This window comes from Homo sapiens, chromosome X, assembly GCF_000001405.40.
Source record: "Homo sapiens chromosome X, GRCh38.p14 Primary Assembly".
In the NCBI taxonomy this organism is placed as follows: Eukaryota; Metazoa; Chordata; class Mammalia; order Primates; family Hominidae; genus Homo; species Homo sapiens.
Window position 1 is genome coordinate 18,847,310 of NC_000023.11, and position 27,263 is coordinate 18,874,572.

General features: G+C 44.2%; 1 pseudogene, besides 5 other annotated features; it reads left to right on the forward strand.

Moving 5' to 3' along the window:
- Window positions 8,983-9,222: an enhancer, noted in NCBI's record as "active region_29459". NCBI's record gives its function as "activates an Ori minimal core promoter by ATAC-STARR-seq in GM12878 lymphoblastoid cells {active_cell/tissue: GM12878}" and the evidence as "EXISTENCE:reporter gene assay evidence [ECO:0000049][PMID:35858748]".
- Window positions 15,235-15,735: an enhancer, noted in NCBI's record as "H3K27ac hESC enhancer chrX:18880662-18881162 (GRCh37/hg19 assembly coordinates)". NCBI's record gives its function as "activates a minimal SCP1, AML or CMV promoter by ChIP-STARR-seq in naive H9 embryonic stem cells {active_cell/tissue: H9 hESC(naive)}" and the evidence as "EXISTENCE:reporter gene assay evidence [ECO:0000049][PMID:30033119]".
- Window positions 15,736-16,236: an enhancer, noted in NCBI's record as "H3K27ac hESC enhancer chrX:18881163-18881663 (GRCh37/hg19 assembly coordinates)". NCBI's record gives its function as "activates a minimal SCP1, AML or CMV promoter by ChIP-STARR-seq in naive H9 embryonic stem cells {active_cell/tissue: H9 hESC(naive)}" and the evidence as "EXISTENCE:reporter gene assay evidence [ECO:0000049][PMID:30033119]".
- HAUS1P2 (HAUS augmin like complex subunit 1 pseudogene 2) lies at window positions 18,064-19,442 on the forward strand (annotated as a pseudogene).
- Window positions 24,572-25,073: an enhancer, noted in NCBI's record as "H3K4me1 hESC enhancer chrX:18889999-18890500 (GRCh37/hg19 assembly coordinates)". NCBI's record gives its function as "activates a minimal SCP1, AML or CMV promoter by ChIP-STARR-seq in naive H9 embryonic stem cells {active_cell/tissue: H9 hESC(naive)}" and the evidence as "EXISTENCE:reporter gene assay evidence [ECO:0000049][PMID:30033119]".
- Window positions 25,074-25,573: an enhancer, noted in NCBI's record as "H3K4me1 hESC enhancer chrX:18890501-18891000 (GRCh37/hg19 assembly coordinates)". NCBI's record gives its function as "activates a minimal SCP1, AML or CMV promoter by ChIP-STARR-seq in naive H9 embryonic stem cells {active_cell/tissue: H9 hESC(naive)}" and the evidence as "EXISTENCE:reporter gene assay evidence [ECO:0000049][PMID:30033119]".

Below are 27,263 nucleotides of genomic sequence, written 5' to 3' on the forward strand. Positions count from 1 at the left end.
GAGCACAGGGTTGGGGGTAGGGTTACAGATTAACAGCATCTCAAGTCAGAAGAATTTTTCTTAGTACAGAACAAAATGGAGTCTCTTATGTCTATTTCTTTCTACATATGCCCAGCTAATTTTGTATTTTAGTAGAGATGGGGTTTCTCCATGTTGGTCAGGCTGGTCTTGAACTCCCGACCTCAGGTGATCAGCCTGCCTCAGCCTCCCAGAGTGTTGGGATTACAGGTGTGAACCGCTGTGCCCGACAGTTGCTGTTTTTAAGACATTGAATTTTAGAGTAGTTTATAATGTGGCAAAAACTAAATTATAAGGAAAAGGATATCTACAAGTGGAGTGCTATCCTAACAAAAACTGAAATATGTGTCAGTAATTTTAGGACAAGGTGTTAGTGTGCCTGGACCAAACTGAGGATCGGGCTGCTATTTCTTGTGGCCCAATAACGAGATGCAGTTGAACTGGAGAGGAAGAGAGTTCTTATTTCTGCAACTGGCTACAGGGAGAAGACCTGGAAATTATGGCCAGGCCAATTCAAAATTACAAAGTTTTCCAGAGCTTATATACCTTCTAAGCTGTATGCCTACGTGTAAGTGTGCACTCATCTAAAGACATAAGTGATTAACTTCTTTTAATCTGTAACTAAGGTCTGAGTCCTGAAGACCTTCCTCTGGAGCCTCAGTAAATTTACTTAATCTAAATGGGTCCAAGTGCTGAGGTGATTACCCGTATCTTGTCTCCTGCTAAATCACGGAGGTTTGGGGAGTTCCTTCAGACCCCCAGTAAACTTGTTTGCAGAGGCCTGGGGAGTTTCTTCAGACCCACAATAAAACATGTTTAATCCTAAATGGGTCCTGTTAAGAATTCCTTCGTTATTTTGTCATGCTTTAAGGCCCAGGGAAGGGCTAGGCAAAACTCTTGGTGGGCTTTTGTTACATTCCAGCCTTTGTATAAGGGCACTGGCTTTTTAGCTTTTAATATTTAACTTAACCACTCAGTCAGTATTGAAACAGTTGTTATGGAGGCCTGTGTTAGTGAGACTTGGCCTGCCACATTAGGGCAGAGGCTGGAAAAGCAGTGAGGAAACAGCAAAACCTGGAAAATTAGCTAGGAAACTGCTATTGCAGGCTACAAAACATGGTTACACATGTTATGTGGTTTTGAAACAATTTCCAAAAGTGTAGTTTATGATAATATGGAAGATGGAAAAGCTTCTTAATGAAATTTGGATTTGACTAAGGAGGTCTACAGGCAAAATGTTGAAAGTGACAGCTGATTGGTCCTAGCTGTGTATAATAGAGTATAAGAAAAGAGAGATGAGCCAAAGCAAAAACTGTTCAGTTTTCAAGCAGGATTTATGAGGAATATAAAGGGGCCAGGGCAGGCTGAGTTGGAAAATAAAAGTACTTTTAATCTCTATCATCCAGCTAGAAGATTTTCAAAGTAAATGAAAACCTGAAGTCAACTTCTACTTCTGGCCAACATGGAGTAACAGGGACCAGATGTATCCTCCTGATACAACAAAAACAAAAGACAGAATATCTGAAACAATTATTTCCAAAACACTGCACATCAGGCACTAAAGAATAGTCATCCTGGAGAGATGAGAAATGAATGAGGTAAACCCTACAATTGCTCCAGCTTACTCCCTTCAGAGAGTTTACAGGCTGTGGCACAGGGAGGGGAAACTCAGGCAAAGCCAGAAGAATCCCTAAATTGGGAGTCCAAGGTGGCTAGAGTTTGTAGGACATAGTCCTGAAGAGGAGACAGCTGCACAGAGAGAGAACTCTGGAAATCTGCAGAGGCTTCCCCTCAAGTTTTTAGCAGAAGGCTGAGCAGGGCATGCACATGAGGAAATTACCTGAGGCCAGGGAAAGAACCACCCGCTGCTCACTTAGGGCCCAGAATAAAGCCTTGTCCCACTAATTAGTGTGGAAAATCTCCTGATTTTTGGAGCATTGGATAGAGTACTCCAAAGGACCTTGCCTCAGTGGTGGGGAATAATTAGCTTTAGACTAAATACTGTTCTCATTCCATATAATTCACCTTATTAACAAACCAAAAAAATCATATGAGTATCGCAGTAAACATAGATGTTGAATAAAATCCAACATCCATTTCTGATCAAACTTCTCAGCAAACTAGAAACAGAAGGAAAATTCCTTAACCTAATAAAGGGCATATATGAAAAACCTACAGCTCTGGCCAGTATAATCAGTTAAGAGGAAGAAATAAAGACATCCAGATTTGAACAGAAGAAGAAAAATTATCTCTATGTGCAGATGACATGATCTGATGGACTGTACAAAAGAGCTACCAGAACTAATAAGCTAGTTTAGCAAGTTTGCAGGATATAAGATCAATATATAAAAATCAGTTTTACTTCAATATACTCACAACGAACAATCAGAAATTGGAATTTAAAAACCAATACTGGCCGGGTGCAGTGGCTCACGCCTGTAATCCCAGCACTTTGGAAGGCCGAGGTGGGCGGATCACCTGAGGTCGAAAGTTCGAGACCAGCCTGACCAACATGGAGAAACCCTGTCTCTACTAAAAGTACAAAATTAGCCAGGCGTGGTGGCACATGCCTATAATCCCAGCTACTCGAAAGGCTGAGGCAGGAGAATCACTTGAGCCTGGGAGGCGGAGGTTGCGGTGAGCTGAGATTGCACCATTGCACTCCAGCCTGGGCAACAAGAGCGAAACTCCATCTCAAAACAAACAAACAAAAACCAACAACAACAATAGCAAAACCAATACTATTAAAAAGAGCTTCGAAAAATGGAATATTTAGCAATAAATGTGACAAAGTATTTGCAAGTTGTGCACTAGAAGCTACAAATATTGCTGAGGGAAATTAAAGAAGATCTAAATAAATCTTGAGATATACTGTGTTGAGTCAGAAGACTCAATAATGTGAAGATCCCCAACCATTCCCAGTTTATTAATCCATAGATTCAACACAGTCCCAATGAAAATCCCAGCAGCCTTTTTTTAAAAAATAGAAATCAACAGACTAATTCTAAAATTCATATGAAAACGCAAAGGAACTAGAATAAGCAAAACAACATTGACAAAGCAGAACGAATTTAGAGAACTAACACTCTACCTTATTTCAAGATGTATTATAAAGCTCTACTCATTAAACGGTGTGGTATTGGTGTAAAGATAAATAAATAGGTTAATAGAACAGAATGGAGTCCAGAAATAGATCCATACATGTGTGGACGACAGACTTTTTGTGTTTTTGCTTTGTAAATAATCTGTTTATTTTAGAATAGATTTAGGTTTATAGAAAAGTTGTAGAGATAGTACAGAGAGTTCTACATACCTCAGACCCAGTTTCCCCTATTCACGTCTTACATTGGTATGGTAAACTTGCCACAATTAATGAGCCAATGTTGATGCATTATTATTATTATTATTTTGAGATGGAATTTTGCTCTTGTTGCCCAGGCTGGCGTGCAGTGGTGTGATCTTGGCTCACTGCAACCTCTGCCTCCTGAGTTCAAGTGATTCTCCTGCCTAAGCCTCCCAAGTAGCTGGGATTACAGGTGCCTGCCACCACGCCCGGCTAAATTTTTTTGTATTTTTAGTAGAGACACACCACGCCTGGCTAATTTTTGTATTTTTGGTAGATGGGGTTTCACTGCATTGCCCAGGCTGGTCTCGAACTCCTGACCTCAGGTGATCTGCCTGCTTTGGCCTCCCAAAGTGCTGGGATTATAGGTGTGAGCCACCGCGCCTGGCCTTGATGCATTATTATTAACTAACGGAGGGGTCCCCAGTCCCTGGACTGCGGACAGGTACTAGTCTGTGGCCTGTTAGCAACTGGTCCGCACAGCAGGAGGTGGGTGGCAGGTGAGCTTGCATTACCGCCTGAGTTCCCCCTCCTGTGGGATCAGTGGCAACATTAGATCCTCATAGGAGCACGAACCCTATTGTGAACTGTGCATGTGAGGGATCTAGGTTGCGTGCTCCGTGTGAGAATCTATCTAATGCCTGGTGATCTGAGGTGGAACAGTTTCCCCCCACCCCAGTCTGTGGAAAACCATCCCCCGACCCCAGTCTGTGGAAAAATTGTCTTCCACCAAACCGGTCCCTGGTGCCAAAAAGGTTGGCAACTGCTGAACGAACGCATACTTTATGCAAATTTTCTTAGCTTCCACTTCATGTTATTTCTCTGTTCTAGGATCCCATCTAGGATACGGCATTACCTACATTCAGTCATCTCGTCTCCTTGGGCTCCTCTTGATTGTGACAGTTCCTTTTTTTTTTTTATAATCTTGGCAGTTTCGAGGTGTACTGCTCAGGTATTTTGTAGAATCTCCCTTGACTAGGATTTGTCTGATGTTTTTCTCTTGATTAGATTGGGGTTGTGTGTTTGGGGAAGGAAGACCACAGAGGTTAAGTGCCATCCTGGTGGCATTTTAGGATGCAAAAATTGTCAACTCATTCTATGAAGCCAGCATTATTCTGCTTGAATAAATTATATCAAGGATACCTACTATCAATATGATGTATCACTGATAATGGTACCAATTTTTCTAGAGTCAACACTTGTAAGTCTGTTTGGTGACCTGTGTCACATTCCAGCATGCAGAGAGACTGAGGTCTCTCAACCCAAACAGAAAGGAACCCAAGCATAGAACTAGACACACCCACTGTATGTACCTACTATGTGTTGGCTGCTGTATTTGGCAGTTTACATGAATGATCTCATTTTATCCCATAAGAGAGATGCCAGTATCTTCTTTGTTCCACCCACGAGGAAAATGAAGATCAGAGAGGTTAAGTACCTTGCCCAAGGTTGACCACCACAGCATAATCTTATTATGGGCCACCATCTCTCTCAGTTGCAGCCAAATGGAGGCAGTGCCAAAATTAAGAGTGTGTTCATGGGCAACAGCTGGAAGACCTTGCCCTAGTGCCCATCAGAAGGGCCAGTAGCTGAGGCGGGGCAGGCAGGTGTCAGTCGGACCCGCTCGGTGGTCAGCAGTGGTGGTAGTGGGGCTGGAGTAAGGAGCCTCTGGGCTCAGGTCACTGAATGGGGCTGTCAAAAGCAATGCTAGATCCTCTTAGGTAAGAACTGGGGCAAGCAGGTCTCAAGGCCAAGGTCTAGCTAGAGGTAGGATACACAGTGAGAGCAGGATCAAAGGCCAAGTCCACTTGACCCACGGTCAGCTCAGCTCTCCAAGCTGCCCCTGCCTGAAAGTGATGCCCTATTCCTGGGCAGGAAGAGCCTAGAGGCCTGTGGACCAGAAGCCGGGCAGAGTCTCATGCCCAGGCGCGTTCTCCCTCTCAGCTGGCCCGCAAGCTCTCTTAAGCCGATTAGGTGCTTTTTTCTACTCTCTGTTTCTCTCTCAAAATAACTTTACTGAGGGATATTTTGGATCCTATAATTCACCCTTTTCAAGTGTACAATTCAATAATGTTTTAGTAGATTTCCTAAGTTAGGAAACCATCACCATAAATCAGTTTGAGAACACTTTCATTAGATCAATAGGATCCCTCGCGCACACTTCTGGTTAACCCTCCTACTGCTCTCACCCTGCCCCACCCCATCCACTCTCCAAGCAACCATGAACCTACTTTCTGCCTATAGATTTGTCTTTTCTGGATAACTCACATAAATGGAACCCAACAATATGTGGTCTCTTGTGTCTGGCTTTCTTCACTGAGCATAACGTTTTTGAAGTTCATCTGTATCATAGCACATATTCATAGTTCATTCCTTTTTATTGCTGACTAGTATAGCACTGTATGGATATAGCACATTTTGTTTATCCACTCATCAGTTGATGAACATTCATTTGCTCTGTCGCCCAGGCTGGAGTGCAGTGGCACGATCTCTGCTCACTGCAACTTCCACCTCCCGGGTTCAAATGATTCTCCTGCCTCAGCCGCCCAAGTAGTTGGGATAACAGGCATGTGCCACCACGCCCGGCTAATTTTTTTTGTATTTTTAGTAGAGACGGGGTTTTGCCCTGTTGGCCAGGCTGGTCTTGAACTCCTGACCTCAAGTGATCCGCTTGCCTTGGCCTCTCAAAGTGCTGGGATTACAGGTGTGAGCCACTGCGCCCGACCTGTTTCTACTTTTTGACTGTTATGAAAACTGCCGCAAAGAACATTCAAGTTGCAAGTATGTGCATGGATATACGTTTTCATTCTCTTGTCCAACCCTCTCTCTTTAGCTTCCATTTCTTTTTTATTGGGTTTCTTCTACACTTTCTACTTCTAAGATTATCCTTCCTTTCTTCAGCTTCCTCACTGGCTTCCTGTTGTCTTCAGCATTAAACTCAAACCCCTTAGTGTGGTCGGAGAAGGTGCCTTCCTCCCCATTCAATCTTATCTCTTGCCACTCTCTTTTTGAAGTGAAGAGGTGTATCACTTACAGAATGGAGACACACTGAGACACAAGTCTAGAAATTATTTCTCACGTGTTCTAATGTTACTCATTGCCAGTCCCCCATATAAGATAATCTGCACTAATGATAACATATTCTTGATTTGATATAGTAACTAAATGACCACTTTGGTTTTTGTTTGTTTGTTTTTGTTTTTGAGATGGAGTCTCACTCTTGTCACTCAGGCTGGAGTGTAGTGTTGCAATCTTGGCTCACTGCAACCTCCACCTCCGAGGTTCCAGCAATTCTCCTGCCTCAGCCTCCTGAGCAGCTGAGATTACAGGCACCCACCACCACGGCTGGCTACTTTTTGTATTTTTGGTAGAGACATGCTTTCACCATGTTGGCCAGGCTGGTCTCGAACTCCTGACCTCAGGTGATCTGCCCACCTCGGCCCCCCAAAGTGCTGGGATTACAGGAATGAGCCACCGCACCTAGCCAGCCTTTACTCATTTTTCTAATGGCTGGTTGTATTTTTCTTATTGATTTCTAAGAACTTTAAAAACGCTTCTCGATACCAATACTTTGTTCTTTATTTGTGAAGCAGATGTCTTCTTCTAGTCTGTGACTTGATTTTTCACTCTTTTTCTGGCATCCATTTTCAAGTAGACGTTTTAAATTGTTATTTGTCCTGTTTGTCAGTCTTTTTCTTTATAATTTGTGCTTTTTGTGTCTTGTTTACAAACAAATCCTTTTCACTCCTGGAAAGATCAGAAAGATACAGTTGATCCTCATTATTCATAGATTTTGTATTTGCAAATTTGCCTACTTGCCAAAATCAGTATCTTCAGTGACCACATGCAAAAGTAGTGAAAAAATCTGAGTCACGCACATTCCCAGCTGAGGTGGAACAAGGTGACACTCTGCCTTCTTGTCTCAGCTGTCAAACTGTAAACAAGTGTCCTTCTTGAGGCACATTTAGTGCCACCGTTTCCACATTTTTGTGCTTTTTGTGGGTGACTTTGCTGTTTAAAATGGCCCCCAAGCATAGATGGAAGTGTTGTCTGGCACTCCCAAGCGCAAGGAAGCTGTGATGTGCCTTACAGAGAAAACACGTGTTAGAGAAGCTTCCTTCAAGCATGAGGGATGGCCCTGTTGGCCGGGAGTTTAGTGTTCAGGAATCAGCAATACAATTCAATGAGATGCCTTTCAACAGAAACATACACAAAACAAGGTTCTGGATTGATAGGGTGATGAAAATGTCGTGACCAGAGGCTCACGGGAACCCTACCCTGTGTTTCCCTTAAGAGCAATGGTTCAGTATTTGCTAATTCAGTGTTCACAGCGAGTTTATAGAACACAGCTATTGTGAATAATGAGAATCAACTGTATCCTCCAAAGGTTTTTTTTAAATTTTGCTTTTCAAGAGCATTTAGCTCTCTCATCCACTAGAAATGATTTTAAGGTATGATGTGGGAGCACAGTTTATTGAACAGTTCATTCTTTCCTACTCATTTGTAAGGCCGCCTCTGCCATACAGTAAGCTTCCATATCCACATGGGTCTGTTTTTAGGCCTTGTGATCCACTGGTCTCTTTGACTATCTTCTCACTAATATCTCATGTATCACATACTATAGGTTTGTAATAGTATTTTTTTTTTTTTAGATGGGGTCTCACTCTGTCATCCAGGCTGGAGTGCAGTGACATGATCATGGCTCACTGCAGCCTCAAGCCCCCTAGGCTCAAGCAGTCCTCCCACCTCAGCCTCTCAAGTAGCTAGGACTACAGGCACACACCACCACACCCGGCTAACTTTTTTATTATTTGTAGAGACAAGGTCTCACAATGTTGCCCAGGCTGGCCTTAAACTCCTGGGCTCAAGTGATCTTCCTGCCTCAGCCTCCCAAAGTGCTGGGATTACAGGCATGAGCCACAGTGCCTGTCTATAATAGTCTTGATATCTGGTAGTATGAGCCCCATCCCCATTACCTTTATTCTTTAACATTTTTTTTTTTGGCCCTTTGGCACTTTGTACAGATTTTAGGATCAGTTTGTGAATTCTGTAAAATCCTCTGTTGGATTTTGATGGGAACTGCATTAAATTTATAAGCTAATCTGGAGAAAGTTGCCACCTTCGCTATATTGAGTCTTCCCATCTGTGAAATGGTACATTTTTTCAATCATTTTAGTCTTCTCTAATGTCTTTCAGTGAAGAATTTATTATCATCCCTATAATCTTGTTTAAAAAACGTATTCCCTGATACATTATGGGGTTACTGTTCTATTTGATGTTTCTTCAATCCTTCTTGTCCTTTTTCCATAGAGTTTAGTTCTATTAGGATCTGATTGTGTCTTATCTAGTCTGCAGTTACTTTATATGTATTTTTAAAATAATCTCTTTCTGGTTATCTGTGTGCATTTGGAGTTTGTGGGGGTATAATTGTATGTTTGTACTATGTGCAGACTGTTGATTGAGTTGGATTAGTCACCAATGGGCTTTGTAATATTCTACTGTGAACTCATCATTAGCAGGGTTTATTTTTTTGTGTGTGAACATTCCATGATATTTGGGATGTGGGAGCTTCAATTCAAAGAAGTTTTTTGTTTGCTTCTGCCTTGTGCCCCAGGAGTATCACTGCTTGATGAATAATTCTCACGGTACTTTTTAGTCTGGAGTTTCTGAACTATGTGGGTAGAGTAAAAGCAATGTGAATTGTGGTCTTGTGGTTTTGACTTCTCAGAGAGCTTTTATTTTTTTCCCACCAAAAGCCCTGTGTCCTGTGGTCCCTCTTGTTTTTAAATCCTTTCATTTATAGAATAGTTATTTGAGGGTCTCAGCTGTAAGCAAAGCTCTCTGGGCAATTCCCTAGCTCCCAGAGCCCCAAAGCCTCATTTCCTGCCCCTGTGTGGGCATTCATTCCCAAACCCCCAGGCTCTGCAGACAGTTGCTCCCCATTAACTCAGGCACTCACCCTTCTGCTTTTTCATTTCCTTCTTTGTTTCTGGCACCCGGGGATTTGATTTTATTATTTGTGGGCCTAGCTCTACATTTAAAATAGTTAAGTTACATTTTACCCAGTATTTCTAAGTGATTATAGTAAAAGAATTTTCAGGTTGTCTGAGTCCACCATATTGCTAGCAGTTGATAAGTAGATTGTTTGTATTCTTTGCTGTTTGTTAATAATCTTTAGGCTTCATATTTTTTCCCAGACAATGACCAAATGTTCATAATATGCCATGTGCTTGAGTTATGCAACATAAATCATTTCCTGGGTCTCAATTTTTAAACCTTAGTAGGACCTACTTCTAAATTTCTGTATCTTTTTTACATAGATGGGATCATATATGTATTTTTTGAGGTGGGGTCTGGCTATGTTGCCCAGGCTGGCCTTGAACTCCTGGACTCAAGCAATCCTCCTGCCTTAGCCTCCCAAGTAGCTGGGATTACAGGCACGTGCCACCACACCTGGCCTATACTTTGTTGTTGTTGTTGTTGTTGTCATTTTTAAACAAGGGCATATTATTTTCCTTTTTCCCTTTCCTCCCCCAATATCAGCATGACCCTCATCCCCTTCTCCCTCACTGAGGGAAGCCATTTTAACCTGCTATATGGCCTTCCAAGTTTTTTTTTTTTTTTTTTTGAGACAGAGTCTTGCTCTGTCGCCCAGGTTGGAGTGCAATGGCTTGATCTCAGCTCACTGCAACCTCTGCCTCCCGGGGTCAAGCAATTCTCCTGCCTCAGCCTCCCAAGTAGCTGCGATTACAGGCGCCTACCACCACCTCTAGCTAATTTTTGCACTTTTAGTAGAGATGGGGTTTTGCCATGTTGGCCAGGCTGGTCTTCAACTCCTGACCTCAGGTAATCCACCTGCCTTGGCCTCTCACGGCCTCCTTACAGGCATGAGCCACTGCGCCTAGCCAGCTTTCCATATTTTTATCTGTCTGCATATAAATCTATAGAGACTCACATATATCCTCATATGTACATGTATTTACACCCCCAGGAATACATAATCAGGGTGGTTTTATTGTTGTATGCTGTATGAAAATGGGATTATATATATATAATATATATATTATAATATATTTTATATATATATATATATATATTTTTTTTTTGAGATGGAGTCTCACTCTGTTGCCCAGGCTGGAGTGCAGTGGCGCCATCTCGGCTCACTGCAAGTGCCACCTCCCAGGTTCACGCCATTCTCCTGCCTCAGCCTCCCCAGTAGCTGGGACTACAGGCGCCCACCACCACACCCGGCTAATTTTTTGTATTTTTTTTAGTAGAGACGGGGTTTCACCGTGTTAGCCAGGATGGTCTTGATCTCCTGACCTCGTGATCTGCCCGCCTTGGCCTCCCACAGTGATGGGATTACAGGTGTGAGCCACCGCGCCCGGCCAAAAATGGGATTATATTATACATGATTTTCCACATCCTGTTTTTCTTAACCAACAATCAATACCTAGTTGAAATCCCTGCAAGTTATTACAATTTTAAGTCTGGTGTTTCTCAATACACAAATCATGAATGTACTGCTTGATGAGTTTCCACAGTGAATACACCCACGTAACCAGCACCCAGATCAAGACATAAAATATTACCAGTGCCCGAGAACTGCTACCTCTCCCAACGTGCCTCCTCCCCTTGACCTCCCACCTCCCCAAGGGTATCCATCCTCCTGACTTGTAACAGCATCGATTTCTTTAGTCTGTTTTGTGCCTTACATAAAAGAAACGTTCAGTACATACTTTTTTGCATATTATATTCTTGACATTTATAATGTTGTTGCATGTAGTTGTGGCTTGTTCGTTCTGGTTGTGGTATACTATCCCATTGTGTGACTATACCAGAATTTATCGATCTATTCTCCTTCTAATAGGCATTGGGGTTATTATGGCCAGTGCTGCCATGAACGTTTTTGTTCATTAATTGATTCTTTTTAATGGCTGTATAATATTCCTTGCTATGGAGGACCACCCTTTATTCAGCGATCCTACTTTTATTAGGTGTTTACTTTGTTTCCTGTTCTTGACCACTAAAGCAAAGCTGCAATAAATATTGTATATATGTCCCTATGTAGAGATACTGATCTATCTCTACTAATGGAACAATGTATTAGTCCATTTTCATGCTGCTGATAAAGACATACCCGAGACTGGGTAATTTATAAGGAAAAAGAGGTTTAATGGACTCGCAGGTGGCTGGGGAGGCCTCACAATCATGGCAGAAGGCAAAAGGCACATCTCATATGGCGGCAGAAAAGAGAACTTGTGCAGGGAGACTCCCCTTTATCAAACCATCAGATCTCGTGAGACTTGTTCACTTCCACAAGAACAGCATGGAAAGACCCGCCCCCATGATTCAATTCCTCCCACTAGGTCCCTCCCACAACATGTGGGAATTGTGGGAGCTACAATTCAAGATGAGATTTGGGTGGGGACATAGCCAAACCATATCAGACAGATTGCAGGAAGTCAAATTGCTGGTTAGTATAGTAATTGCCTTTTAAAAGTAAATGCTGTTGCTTGTTTTTAAAACAAAACAAAACAAAACCCTGTGACAATGCCATTACTGTCAGCAATGCCTGAAAATTCCCCTTTCCCTCATCTCTGTCAGCATTGGATGTTAGAGTTCTTTCTGTGTTTTGTGAATCTCATGAGTATAAAATGATATTAGCATGATATATTCCCTGACCACTAGACAATTTAAGCACCTTTTCATGTGTTGGGACTTGTTCTTCATATTTTTTGCTCATTTTTTTTTTTTTGGGTCTATACATCTTTTTCTCATCAATTTGCAAGATATTTTTGTATACTGTAGAAATTAACCCTTTAGGCCAGGCACAGAGGCTCATACCTGTAATCTCAGCACTTCGGGAGGCTGAGGTGGGGGGTCACGAGGTCAGGAGATCGAGACCATTCTGGCCAACATGGTGAAACCCCTTCTCTACTAAAAATACAAAAATTAGCTGGGCGTGGTGGTGTGCGCTTGTAATCCCAGCTACTCAGGAGGCTGAGGCAGGAGAATCGCTTGAACCCGGGAGGTGGAGATTGCAGTGAGCCAAGATTGTGCCACTGCAGTCCAGCCTGGGTGACAGAATGAGACTCTATCTCAAAAAAAAAAAAAAAAAAAGAAATTAACCCTTTATTATACATTTTTGTCCACATCTATTGTTTGTCTATTGACTTTGTTCATGTTACCTTTTGCCACTGAGAACTCAAAATAAAATCCACACCCCCACTAACCAGCTGAGTGGAACCCCTCTTGGCCAAGGGCACCCCAGAAAGACCTTAAAAACTGTGTTCCCTGCCATGAGAGCTGGGAGGTTGGAAACATCTCGTTATACCATCTCCCTCTGCAGTTTAGACAGAACAACTAACCAGAATTAATGCTGAAATAGAGATCATAAGACTGATGGAAGGGACCCTCTGTGGCAATAAGATACCAAATTATAAACAAGACCTAAAGCCACGCCAGGCAAGGGTTAAGTTACACGCTCCTACACTTAAAGAATCAACTATGGGCCGGGCGTGGTGGCTCACACCTGTAATCCCAGCACTTTGGAAGGCCGAGGCAGGTGGATCACCTGAGGTTGGAGTTTGGTTTTTTTTGTGTTTTTTTTTTTTGAGACGGAGTCTCGCTGTCCCCCAGGCCGGAGTGCAGTGGCGCGATCTCGGCTCACTGCAAGCTCCGCCTCCCGGGTTCACGCCATTCTCCTGCCTCGGCCTCCTGAGTAGCTGGGACTACAGGCACATGCCGCCACGCCCGGCTAATTTTTTGTATTTTTAATAGAGACGGGGTTTCACCGTGTTAGCCAGGATGGTCTCGATCTCCTGACCTCGTGATCCACCCACCTCGGCCTCCCAAAGTGCTGGAATTACAGGCGTCAGCCACTGCGCCCGGCCGAGGTTGGGAGTTTGAGACCAGCCTGACCAACATGGAGAAACCCCATCTCTACTAAAAATACAAAAAAGTTAGCTGGGCGTGGTGGCGGGTGCCTGTAATCCCAGCTACCAGGAGGCTGAGGCAGGAGAATCTCTTGAACCCGGGAGGTGGAGGTTGCAGTGAGCTGATATCGAGCCATTGCACTCCAGCCTGGGCAACAAGAGTGAAACTCAGTCTCAAAAAAAAAAAGGAATCAACTGTGTTCTAATTGCCACAAGGATTTTTCTTTTCCCTTTTATTCTAGCAACTAAACAAGCACTGGTTTTGAAATAAGCAATGTTGATGCAATTGCAGCTCACCCACCACCAAACACTAAGTGACCCCCCAACCCTCTGTTCTACCAGCCATCACTACAGCTTTGATAGGGACTAATTGTTATCCATTTAAATGTTAAGTCTCCCCGCCAAAGTGAACATGGGATGTAACCCGTTCAGCATAAATCTTTGTTCCCCACTCCCTCGAAGTGTCTGCTGGAGGCTACACTTCGCAGCCTGTGGGATAGCCAGCCTGCAGGCTATATAACCCTTTATAAGAAATAAAGGCTCCTTTCCTGTCTGGGCATGGAGGCTCATGCCTGTAATCCCAGCACTTTGGTAGGCCAAGGCGGGCAGATCACGTGAGGTCAGGAGTTCGAGACCAGTCTGGCCAACATGGTGAAACTCCGTCTCTACTAAAAATACAAAAAATTAGCTGGGCATGGTAGCACATGCCTATAATCCCAGCTACCCGGGAGGCTGAGACAGAAGAATCATTTGAACCCGGGAGGTGGAGGTTGCAGTGAGCCGAGATCACACCACTGCACTCCTGCCTGGGCGACTGTGCGAGACTCTGTCTTGAGGAAAGAGAAGAGAGAGAGAAAGAAAGAAAAAGAAAAGAAAAGAAAAGAAGAAAAAAAAGAGAAAGAAAAGACATGAGGCCAGGCAAGCCTTTTCCAGATAAGGTTGATTAAGACATGCCCAGAAATGTTGGGCATAAGGGAGACAGTGCAGGAGAAAAAAATTCTCCAGCTGCCTCTGAGGGGAGTGCACTGCGGTGTCTTAATGAGGGTGACATACCTAATTCATGAGGTTAGGAGAGTGTCCACATGTGCAGGGTGGAATTCAAGAAGCACAGGCGTAGTAAGGGGTTATGCTAACACATACATCACATGAGCGGAAAATGGCAGATAAGCCCCTCCTTGGGCGGTCTGGTCTTGTGCACATGTGGGTGATAGGGTTAACTCCTTTGAGTAAGATTTATGTTGGGATATTGCTTATTTTAGTTTTTCAAGGTCCTGCGATCAGCCAGTATGGTGCCTTGAGTAAGATTTATTGGGGGTTGCTGTTTATCTTAGTTTCTTCAAACAGCTTGCAAGGTCTGGTCAGTATGTATGGAAAAATACATTAGTGGGCATGGGCCAAGTCCTGTCCCTATGGCCTCATAGGTACTTATTCAAAAAAGCCTATTTACTGTTGTAATGTATCTGGTATCCAGTCTCCTTACCAAATATCGTTACTCTAAAAGTTTTTTAATAGAATTGTTACAGTAGGTAGCTAGTCAGACATTAAACAGGACAGGAGAGCACCCCTCCCCTTCCCTGCCAACCACCACCAGGAATGTCAGATGTCAGGTGACCATCAGGTCATGGTCAGTCGGTTAACTGTCTCTCTAAAATAATAATTGGTCACAGCCAGCACCAGGGAAAAGCAGTTTCCCAATAGATAAAAACACCTGAAACTGATGATCAGCGGTTTCCCAGTAAGAGCTCAGGAATTGGGCGAATGCGCTGGAGCATGTGCATTAAGGGGCAAAATGGAGGAGTTTAAGTGGTATATGACCTTCTGGGGACATTCTATTGGTAAAGGGAAGAACGCCTCAGGTGAGCATGCGTACACCTCCAGTAAACACACTGCGCATGCTCACCTCCCAATTGCTGGCAGGCCACCGCGCATGTGGGCAGCCCCCATAAGGGAAGAATCAAGGGAAAAAGGATGCAAGATGCGGGAAGTAGGCCAGCATATACAACCCCAAGTCCAAGGTGAAATGAGGCACTTGACCTCCAAGATGCCCCCTTGGCCCTCTTCTAAGTACTTTCTTTTAATTCCTGCCCTAAAGCTTTTATTATTATTATTATTATTATTATTAAGACAGGGTCTCACTCTGTCGCCCAGGTTGGAGTGCACTGGCACAATCTCAGCTCATTGCAGTCTCTGCCCCCTGGGTTCAAGCAATTCTTGTGCCTCAACCTTCCGAGTAGCTGAGATTACGGGCACACACCACCACACCCAGCTAATTTTTGTATTTTTGTGGAGACAGGGTTTTGCCATGTTGCCCAAGCTGCTCTCAAACTCCTGGACTCAAATGATCTGCCCACCTTGGCCTCCCGAAGTGCTGGGATTACAGGCGTGAGCCACTGCGCCCAGCTGACTCTAAAGATTTTTTTGTTTTTGTTTTTGAGACGGAGTCTCGCTCTGTCGCCCAGGCTGGAGTGCAGTGGCGCGATCTCGGCTCACTGCAAGCTCCGCCTCCCGGGTTCACGCCATTCTCCTGCCTCAGCCTCCCGAGTAGCTGGGACTACAGGCGCCCGCCACCACGCCCGGCTAATTTTTTGTATTTTTAGTAGAGACGGGGTTTCACCGTGTTAGCCAGGATGGTCTCGATCTCCTGACCTCGTGATCCGCCCGTCTCGGCCTCCCAAAGTGCTGGGATTACAGGCGTGAGCCACCGTGCCCGGCCTCTAAAGCTTTTTAATAAATTTTCACTCCTGCTCTGAAACTTGCCTTGGTCCCTTTTTCTGCCTTATGCCCCTCAGTTGAGTTCTTGCTTCTGAGGAGCCAAGAATTGAGGTTGCTGCAGAACCATATGGATTCACTGCCAGTAACGGGGTCTCGGGTTTTCAAGGTAGACAATTATAGCATCAGCAAATAGAATTCATTTATATCTCTTCTTTTAGGGTTGCCAGCTTTAGCAAACAAAAATACAGAATGCCCAGCTAAATATGAATCTCAGAAAAATAAGGAATAATTTTTTAGTATAAGTAAGTCCCAAGTACTGTATGGCACATACTTATATTAAAAAGCGATTCATGATACATTTGAAATTCAAATTTACCTGGGTGTTCTGTATTTTATCTAACAACCCTCTTTCTTTCCCAGCGAGGATGCCTGCTGCTTTATTTTCTTTTTCTGTTGCATTTGCTGAAGCCTCTAAGACTGGTTCTCATTCTGGGCTACACATTAGCATCAGCCAGGAAGCTCTGAAAAACAAAACAAAACAAAACAAAAAAAACCTCCTATGGCAGGCAGGCCCTTAGGCTCAGAGATTTAATTGGTGTATATATACATATATTTAAAAGCTTCCCAGATTGATGCTAATGGGCATCTGGGGTTGAGAACCACTGCCTTAAATCCATGTTAAATAATAATGTTAGTAAGCATCAAGAATCTTGTTCTTGATTTTAATTAAATATTTCCAGTGTTTTGACATTTAAAATAACACTTGTTGTTGGTTTTTAGTAAATATCCTTCGTTTTGTTTACATAGTTTCCATCTAGCCCTGTTTAAGTTTTGATTAGGAATGGTTGCTTTTAGCACCTATTAATATGATTATGTGGTTTTGAGAAAAGAAGAATAGAACAGTCTGGGCTATGTGTGGTCTGCAGGCCCAGAAAGACACGAATATGGGACTTTCATTCCTCCCTGCTCCCCCTCTCCCCATGCCTGGGGGCAATTGTTTAAAGTCATTTTGTTCCCAACCAGCTGTCTCACCCTTTGCCTTCTTGTTCCTAGAATTTGGGTTTGTTTGTTTGTTTTTTCGAGATAGGGTCTCTCTCTTTCACCCAGGCTGGAATGCAGTGGCTTGATTTCAGCTCACTGCAGCCTCTACCGCTCAGGCTCAAGCGATCCTCCTGCCTCAGCCTCCCGAGTAGCTGGGACCACAAACGCACATGACCATGCCCAGCTAATTTTTTTATTTTTTGTAGAGACAGGGGTCTCCCTATGTTGCCCAGGCTGATCTTGAACTCCTGGGCTCAAGTGATTCACCTGCCTTGGCTTCCCAAAGTGTTGGGATTACAGGGAAGAGCCACCGCCTGGCCTGGAATTTGTAATACAAAGAACCCTGTATGTAGCCTGTCAGTAGTTTGTTATTTTAATGTAAATTCTTGGTAAACAACTGAGGAACTTCCTCTTCCTTTCCTTTAAAAATCCACTTGTAGGCCGGGGCGGTGGCTCACGCCTGTAATCCCAGCACATTGGGAGGCCGAGGTGGTCGGATCACGAGGTCAGGAGATCGAAACCATCCATCCTGGCTAACACGGTGAAACCCCGTCTCTACTAAAAATACAAAAAAATTAGCCGGGTGTGGTGGTGGGCTCCTATAGTCCCAGCTACTGGGGAGGCTGAGGCAGGAGAATGGCGTGAACCCGGGAGGCGGAGCTTGCAGTGAGTGGAGATCGTGCCACTGCACTCCAGCCTGGGCGACGACCGAGACGCCGTCTCAAAAAAAAAAAAAAAAAAAAAAAATCCACTTGTAACTGCCACTAATCCAGAGTGTATATTCAGGGCAACTTGAATCTGTTCTCTTGAGGACTAATCTCTGACCTTTTTTCCCTCTTGCCCAAATTCCTATCTAAGGGACCTGGGAAGTTACGCCATAACATCACAAACCATATAACATCACGAACCATAACATCTCATCAGGTGAATTTTATTTAACTCTATATAATGTGTTACTTTCCAACCTGACTGGCATAACACCACTGGACAGAGAAGAAAATCAAAATATTGCTAGTGAAGTGGCGGAAGTGGCAGCTATGGAGCTGCTGGAGGAGAGAGAAACATTGCTGTGTGGTTAGAAAAAATATTTGGGCCGGGCTCGGTGGCTCACGCCTGTAATCCCAGCACTTTGGGAGGCTGAGGCGGGCAGATCACAAGGTCAGGAGATTGAGACCATTCTGGCTAACACAGTGAAACCCTGTCTCTACTAAAAATACAAAAATTAGCCAGGCATGGTGGGGGGCACCTGTAGTCCCAGCTACTCGGGAGGCCGAGGCAGGAGAATGGCTTGAACCCGGGAGATGGAGGTTGCAGTGAGCCGAGATGGCGCCACTGCACTCCAGCCTGGGCAACAGAGTGAGACTCTGTCTCAAAAATAAATAAATAAATAAATAATAAAAAAAGATATTATATATGGAGATCATCCCATTCCACAGTATGAGGTGAACCCACGGACCACAGAGATTTTACATCACCTTTCAGAACGCAACAGGGTCCAGAACAGGGATGTCTACCTGGTAATAGAGGACTTGAAGCAGAAAGCAAGTGAATACCAGTCAGAAGCCAAGTATCTCCAAGACCTTCTCATGGAGAGTGTGAATTTTTTCCCCTGCCAATCTCTCTAGCACTGGTTCCAGGTATCTGAATGCTTTGGTTGGCAGTGCGGTGGCCCTTGAAACGAAGGATGCCTCACTAACTAGTTTTATCCCTGTAGTGAATGATTTGACCTCTTACCTCTTTCGTACCAAATCCAAAAGTGAAGAAATCAAGATTGAACTGGAAAATTTTGAAAAAAAATCTAACTGCAACTTTAGTATTAGAAAAATGTCTACAAGAGGATCTCAAGAAAGCAGAGTTGCATCTGTCTACAGAAAGGGCCAAAGTTGATAATCGTCATCAGAACATGGACTTTCTAAAACCAAAGTCAGTGGAATTCAGATTTGGAATCAAGGCTGCAGAGGGAGCAACTTTCAGCCAGAGGCATGGATGCTTCTCTGTCTCATCAGTCCCTAGTAGCACTGTCAGAGAAACTGGCAAAATTAAAACAACAGACTATACCTTTGAAGAAAAAATTGGAGTCCTAGTTAGATTTAATGCCGAATCCATCCTTGCTCAAGTGAAAATTGAAGAAGCAGAGTGAGAATTAGATAGCATTGAAGCTGAACTTACAAGAAGAGTAGACATGATGGAACTGTGACAAGAGCCAAATAAACAGCCTTTTCCCTAACAAAGTAAATTGAATAGGACTTCACAGAGTTCTTTTTCCTCTTGGCATTTCTTAATAACAAAATTTTCTGTGTTCTTAGATTACAGAATATCATAATTGATAGAATATGGTTTCTAACTGTATTTCATTTTTGTGCCCAAATACATCGTTTTCATAAAAAAAAATCAAAATATCTTACCCCAAAATATGTGTTTTTTTGCCATATTTTGAAATGGCCCTGCAAAGCCATCTTTGGTGGGGGAAAGTTTGCATCTGTAAAGAATCTCCATTAACATAACTAGATCCTCCCCTTCCAGACCCTCCCAATCCTGAAGAGATAAACTGAGAGTCTGGCACCTTTTAAAGGTCTGAATAGGAAACATTTGCCATCTATTGTCTCTAAGGGCATTCATCTGTGACACTTCCTAGCAACCTTGGTCTCCACAACCCCTTATCTTAACCCAGACACTCCTTTCTGTTGATGCCAGGTCTTTAGATAATAATTTAACTCTTTCAACCAATTGCCAATCAGAAAATCTTTGAATCCACCTGTGACTTGAAAGCCCCCCCACTTCGAGTTGTCCCACCCTTCCAGATCCAACCAATGTATATCTCACATGTATTGGTTCATGTCTTATGTCTCCCTAAAACGTATAAAACTAAGCTGTAACCCAACCACCTTGGGCACATGTTCTCAGGACTTCTTGAGACTGTGCCTCAGGCCATGGCCACTCATATTTGGCTCAGAACAAACCTCTTTAAATATTTTATAGCGTTTCACTCTTTTTGTCTACACTCCTGGGTTGCAGTTCTTATACTTGGCCCAAATAAACTCTACTCAGATGAATTTTGCCTCAGATGCTGGGCGCATTGGCTCACGCCTGTAATCCCAACACTTTGGGAGGCTGAGGCGGGAGGATCACTTGAGCCCAGGAGTTTGAGACCAACCTGGGCAATATAGTGAAGACCTCATTTCCAAAACAAATAAAAGAAGTATTAAAAAATGTGCCTCAGCTTCTTCCTTTTAGGTTGGCAGTTTTCTCCTTTAGTTCATTGATGCAAAGAGTCATATTGCTGGGTTTCTTTGTATTGAAGAACTTTCTAATTCTGTTGTTCAATGCCAAAGTCTGTTTGCTAATATTTTATTTAGACTTTGCCTCTATATTTATACATTTAGTTGAAGCTGAGGATCTGTTATTGTTGGAATTACCATTGTCTGATTTTGGTATTTAAGTAACGTTGGCTTTGTAAAATAAACTGGTGAACTTTGTATCTTTTTTTCCTACTTTCTGAAATAGTTTAAATTGTTGCTACTCAAAGTGTGGGCCAAGAACCAACAATATCTGCCTCACCTGGAGCTTGCTAGAAATGCAGAGTTTAGGGCCCCGCCCCAGGTCTATTGCATCCGAATCTGCATTTTATCAAGAGTCACAGGTTATCAGTGTACACATTCATTTTGAGAGAAGTGGGTACAAATACCATTAGTCTCCTTTGTCCACTAAAGGTTAGATAAAACTCAGCCATGGGTGATGCAGTCCTGGTGCCTGTTTCACAGTGGATTGCTACTCCCCTTCCCAATCTCTTCTGTGATCATTGCTCTATTTCAGTAATTGGTCTATTTTGGTAACTTCAATTTTGCAAAGAAATCATCAATTTCCTCTAAATTTTTCAAATTTACTTGTTACTGCTTCTTAAGATTTTTTTAAATTTGTAGTTATGTCACCTTTCTGACTCCTCCTCTTGTGAACTTCTGCCTTCTTTCTCTTTTTCTTGATCTGGCTTGTAAGAGATTTGTCTCTATCGTTAGTCTTTTCTTTTTCTTTCTTTCTTTTTTTTTTTGAGACAGAGTTTTGCTCTTGTTGCCCAGGCTGGAGTGCAATGGTGTGATCTGGGCTCACTGCAACCTCCGCCTCCCAGGTTCAAGCAATTCTCCTGCCTCAGCCTGGCTTAGCCTCCCGAGTAGCTGGGATTACAGGCATGCACCACCATGCCCAGCTACTTTTTTTGTATTTTTAGTACAGAAGGGGTTTCTCCATGTTGGTCAGGCCTCAGGTCAGGCCTCGAACTCCCGACCTCAGGTGATCGCCCACCTCGGCCTCTCAAAATGCTGGGATTACAAGCATGAGCCATGGCGCCCAGCCTCATTAGTGTTTTCTAAGTACCAGTTTTACATTTATTTATCCTTTGAGATATTTGGGGGGAGGGTATTTGTTTTCTATTTCACTTGTTTCAGCTTTTATCTGTACACATCTCGGCTCACTGCAAGCTCCGCCTCCCGGGTTCACGCCATTCTCCTGCCTCAGTCTGCCCAGTAGCTGGGACTATAGGCGCCCACCACCATGCCTGGCTAATTTTTTTGTATTTTTAGTAGAGATGGGGTTTCACCATGTTAGCCAGGATGGTCTCGATCTCCTGACCTCGTGATCCGCCCGCCTCTGCCTCCCAAAGTGCTGGGATTAAAGGCGTGAGCCACCACGCCCGGCCTTTTTCCCTAATTTCTTATGATTGGTATAGGTTATTAATTTTTAGAAATTTTTAAAAATAATGAAGGCATTTAAAGCTGTAAATTTTCCTTTAAGCCTTGCTTTCACTGTGTGGTCAGTTTTAGTGTGAAGTGTTCTTTTCATTAGTTTCTAGACAGTAATTTCCCTTTTAATTTCCTCTTTATTCTTTTTTTTTTTTCTTTTTTGAGATGGAGTCTCGCACTCTGGCCCAGGCTGGAGTGCAGTGGCGCCATCTCGGCTCACTGCAAGCTCCGCCTCCCGGGTTCATGCCATTCTCCTGCCTCAGCCTCCCAAGTAGCTGGGACTACAGGCGCCTGCCACCAGGCCTGGCTAATTTTTTGTATTTTTAGTAGAGATGGGGTTTCACCATGTTAGCCAGGATGGTCCTGATCTCCCCATCTTGTGATCCGACCGCCTCAGCCTCCAAAGTGCTGGGATTACAAGCATGAGCCACCACACCCGGCCTAATTTCCTCTTTATTCTAAGGAGTTTCCAGGAGTGTTTCGTATTTTCCACATTTAAAATATTTCAAACTTCAAATTTTCACTCTTTTATTATTCCTTAAAATTTTAATAAGATTTTCCCTGTGGCCATGTACCTAATCTATTTCTGTAAATGTTTCATGGACATATAAACAAAATGTATGTTTTCCATTTGAAGAATGTAAGGCTCTCTATGTACTTGTTACACTAAATTGTTGGTTGTATCAGTCACTTTGTCTTTGCCCTTACTGACTTTTTTGCTTATTAGGTATATTCAGTTCTGAAAGAAGTGAACTGAAACACCCTACTAAAACTGTATTTTGGCCAGGCGCGATGGCTCATGCTTGTAATCCCAGCACTTTGGGAGGCCAAGGCAGGCAGATCACTTGAGGTCAGGAGTTCGAGACCAGCCTGGCTAACACGGCGAAACCCCATCTCTACTAAAAATACAATAATTAGCTGGGCATGGTGGCGGGCGCCGGTAGTCCCAGCTACTGGGGAGGCTGAGGCAAGAGAATTGCTTGAACTTGGGAGGCAGAGGTTGCAGTGAGCCGAGATTGCACCACTGCACTCCAGCCTGGGCGACAGATGGAGACTCCATCTCGGAAAAAAACCAAAACTATATTTTTATTCTGTTTGTATTTCTATATTTTTTCATTTTATGATTTTAGTGTCTATGTTATTTAGTGCACATAAGTTATGAATGTTATATATTCTTAATTGTACATTCTTATTATACACAAGTTCTTCTTCATCCTGTTTAGGGTTTTGAACTTCAACTTTCTCCATACCTCTGCTCTTCCTGCTTTCTTCTTATTGGCATTTTTCTGATATCTTTTTGGCATATTGTTTTCAATTTTTCTCTCTCATTTTATTTTTGCATTTTTCCCTGTGAGCAGCATATACCTGGATTTTTACTTTTAACTCTATCTGATAATCTCTGTCTTTTCTTGAGTGAATTCAGTTTAATCACCTCTGGTAAGTTGACTGATATACTTGATTTCATTTTATTCATCTTACTCTATTAAATTGTTGGTTTTTTTTCCTCTAATTTTTCTAGTTAAATTGCCGCTCATTCCATTTTCCCCTTTGTGAATACCTACTGTTGTTAGACTTTTAATGTGACTTATAGGTATATGGGCTTTTAAAAAAAGACTTTATGTGAGATTTTAAGTGATAAAGTAACAGATACATTCATGGAGTTGAAAGACAAGTTGGTGTCCTTTTGACTGTAACTCAAGTGATCTTTCCACAATACCAGGGCTTTGGAGCAAAACCAAAAATTTCCTTTTTTTCTTTCTTTTTTTGAGACGAAGTCTTGCTCTATTGCCTAGGCTGGAGTGCAGTAGTGCAATCTCGGCTCACTGCAACCTCCACTTCCCGGGTTCAAGTGATTCTCCTGTGTCAGCCTCCTGAGTAGCTGAGATTACAGATGTGCACCACTACACCTGGCTAATTTTTGTATTTTTAGTAGAGACAGGGTTTTGCCTTGTTGGCCAGGCTGGTCTTGAACTCCTGACCTCAGGTGATCTGCCTGCCTCTGCCTCCCAAAGTGCTGGGATTACAGGCATGAGCCACCACACCCAGCCCCAAACCAAGCATTTCTAACTGAAAAACATGGCTCATGCTCAGCCCAGCTTAGGGTCAGGGTTATCACTCTATCTGGGCACAAATCTCATCTTGAATTGCAGCTCCCACAATTCCCATGTGTTGTGGGAGGGACCCAGGGGGAGGTAATTGAATCATGGGGGCTAGTCTTTCCTGTGCTGTTCTCGTGATAGTGAATAAGTCTCACGAGATCTGGTGGTTTGATAAAGGGGGCGTTCTCCTGCACACGCACTCTTGCCTGCCACCGTGTAATATGCCTCTGCTCTTCCTTCATCTTCTGCCATGATTGTGAGGCCTCCCCAGCCACGTGGAACTGTGAGTCCATTAAACCTCTTTCCTTTATAAATTACCCAGTCTTAGCTAGTTCTTTATTAGCAGTGTGAGAACAGACTAATACAGGCCCTTACCCAGTCATTGACCTAGAGGGGCTGGACTGCCATAGCGGGATCGCAGCCCCTGATGACTCCCTTCCTGGGGTCCCTGGGCCTGTGGGGAGGACAGCCATCCTAACAGGAGCCTATCTGGTGTTGTCATTTTAGAAAGCCTTCCGGAGAATGTACTTGGAGCTCCTAATAAGATATCTCGGGCCAAGGAAAATGTCACATTTCTTTGCTCTTGGCAGGAATCCCAGCTCCTTGGCTTGGGAGCACCCTTTCTCCCATGCTGAACAGAAACTTCATTTGGCCATTATGTTCATTGCCAATTAATAAATTATAGGAGAACAAATTAATTTACTTATCACTTGCAGCTTTGGAGAAAAACTCGTTCAAAGCAGGGAAAGTGGGGTGATAAAAAGATCCCTGCAGGAAAAACGTTGGGGATCCCCGGGGCCACTTACATGTTGGGTCTGAGTGGGTGAAATCACTCTTCATTACAAAGCTCTCAGAGGATCCGCAGCAGGGGCACCTCGTCCACAACCCCCGCCCCCCTGCCCCCAGCTGGCCTCCAAAGATTGTGGTGAGGTTCCAAATGAGGTGACAACATTGGAACTTGCTGCATCCTGAACGTGTGCACTGAGTGATGAGGGTGCTGGCGCTCTGGTTGTGGGGACCCTGACTACACAGCCCCGGGTGTGGCTCAAAGTGTCAGTCTCCCACTGCCTACCAGTGCTACAGACCCCACCCTGCAAATCTCCTAAAGGGAGAAACCTGCTCCCGGCTCCAAGCACGTGGTTGCAGTAGGAACACCTGGGAACACACGAAAGCGTGCTGGGTGGGGTCAGGAGGCTCAGCTCTGTCTGCTTGGGCTCACCGCTAATGTGTGTGAGCTGGGGCTTGCATTTCCTCGCCTACAACAAAAGTGACGGACAGAATGCAGGGAAGGCCCAGGTAGCACCCCTATCCTGTGAGTTCTGCCTCCACCTGCACTGCTGCCTGTGGGTTGTGTGTGAAGCACGTGAGGCCCTGTCCCTCAGTGCTCAGCGATGCCGCGGGTGGTCTGAGATGATGTTGGTGGTGATGGTGATGAAAACTCACACACTAGCACTTCTACCAAGCCCATTGGTATTCTAAGGGTTTCACCCATATTAACTCATTAATCTTCACAACCAGCCTATGAGGTTACTGTTATTATCACTCCTATTTTACACAGGAAGAGACAGACACAGGTGAAGCCACTTGTCAACATTGTGCAGCTGGTACGCGGTGGGGCAGAGCCCAGTCAGGCTCCGGGGCCTGTGTGTGGGCACTACTGTGCGCTGTCTGCTGTGTCCCGGTAGCCGAGTTAACCAAAAGCAGCACAGAGATCATGAAACTTCATTCTAACCTGAGCTTTCAACCTCCTCCCTCTCATCAAATTTTACTTAAAATTTCAGAAACTAGCAAGAGTCGAAATGGCCCGATGTCCCCTCCTTCTGTTTCCCCTGCCGCTTGTCCCCATGGCCCTGGGGGCATCCGCAGGAGGGAGGTGCCCCTGGGGCTGGGGAGAGGATTCTCCTGGCGTTTGCTCTTTTTCCTGGCTGCCCAGGTACACTCTTAGCCATGTCCAGTCCTCAGGCTTTCCCCAAAAGGGAGAATAACGGGAGCATGGGCCAAAATCCTGAGTGAAATATAAAGGCCCCAGATAAAGCAATTATAAATGGAAACTCTGAGGCTGTGATTCACTCAAGCAACATGACTCATGTTCTGCTGAGGTTTCCGTGAACAATATGTTCACAGTCTGATTTAATTATAGCCTAGATTTACTGCTGCCTCGGGGAGCCTCCGAAGCTCACCCCATCCCTCACTACCCCCAGCGCGGCGCCTGGTGAAACGCCTCCCAGTGCGAGAGTGGGAGCAGGCACTGGAAATGGTTTTCTGCAGGTGCTATGTGTCACATCGTGCACAGTGGACAGCTCTTGGGACCTCAGCTGGGCGGGGAGGCAGAGTCGTCAAATAAGTTAGAGCTCTGGGGTACAGCTCAAGCCCCCGGGGATGGGGGGGATTGTGCTTCCTGGGCTTCCCCTCCGTGCAGGGGCTCCTGCAGAGTTGAGGTTTGTCAGCGCCGAGTGTGGGCGCCTAGAGTGATCGATTGAGAGAGAGAATCCAGTCACAGCTCCCTCACGCGAGGGTGGAGGGAAACCCGGGGCTGCCTGCCGAACTCGGGGGCGTTCTCGCGGGGACCCGATAACACCGGACAGAAAATGTCCCACTTCTCATCGCTTTGTGCTTTCAGTGAGAACCCCCCCGGAGGTACAGCATTTAAAGGGGATAATTTCAAACGTGGTGATGTGGCCACAATTATATCCTCGTTATCAGACAAAAACTGTAGGTCCCCTCCCTCTGCAAAGCACGAAAGCATTTGTGTGTATTTCAGTGTAACAGAATGCTGTCCCCCAGTATCTGGTGCCATGTGCTCTTTCCACGCCCCCCGCACCCCGGCCCTGTTTGCTTGAGTAACCAGAGTGGAAGAGGGCAGCCCACTACTGTGGGCTTTAGTGTTGTCAGCTAAAATACAGGCCGCCCCGTTAATTTGCATGTCACATAAGCGATGCATAATAGTTTCATTTGCGCATGTCCCAAATATTGTCCGGGACATGCTTGTGCTAAAACCAGATTCCTTGTTGACCTGAAATCCAAATTTATTTTTTGAGACGGATTCTCACCCTGTCACCCAGGCTGGAGTACAATGGCACCATCTCAGCTCACTGCAACCTCTGCCTCCCAGGTTCAAGCGATTTTTCTGCCTCAGCCTCCAAGTAGCTGGGACTACAGGCGTGCGTCACCATGCCTGCCTAATTTTTGTATTTTTAGGTAGAGATGGGGTTTCGCCATGTTAGATCTCCCAAAGTGCTGGGATTACAGGTGTGAGCCAGTGCACTGGGCCTTAAATCCAAATATAACTGGGTATTTTTTTGTTTTTTTTTTTTTTTTTGAGGCAGAGTCTCACTTTGTTGCCCAGACTGTAGTGCAGTGGCGTGATCTTGGCTCACTG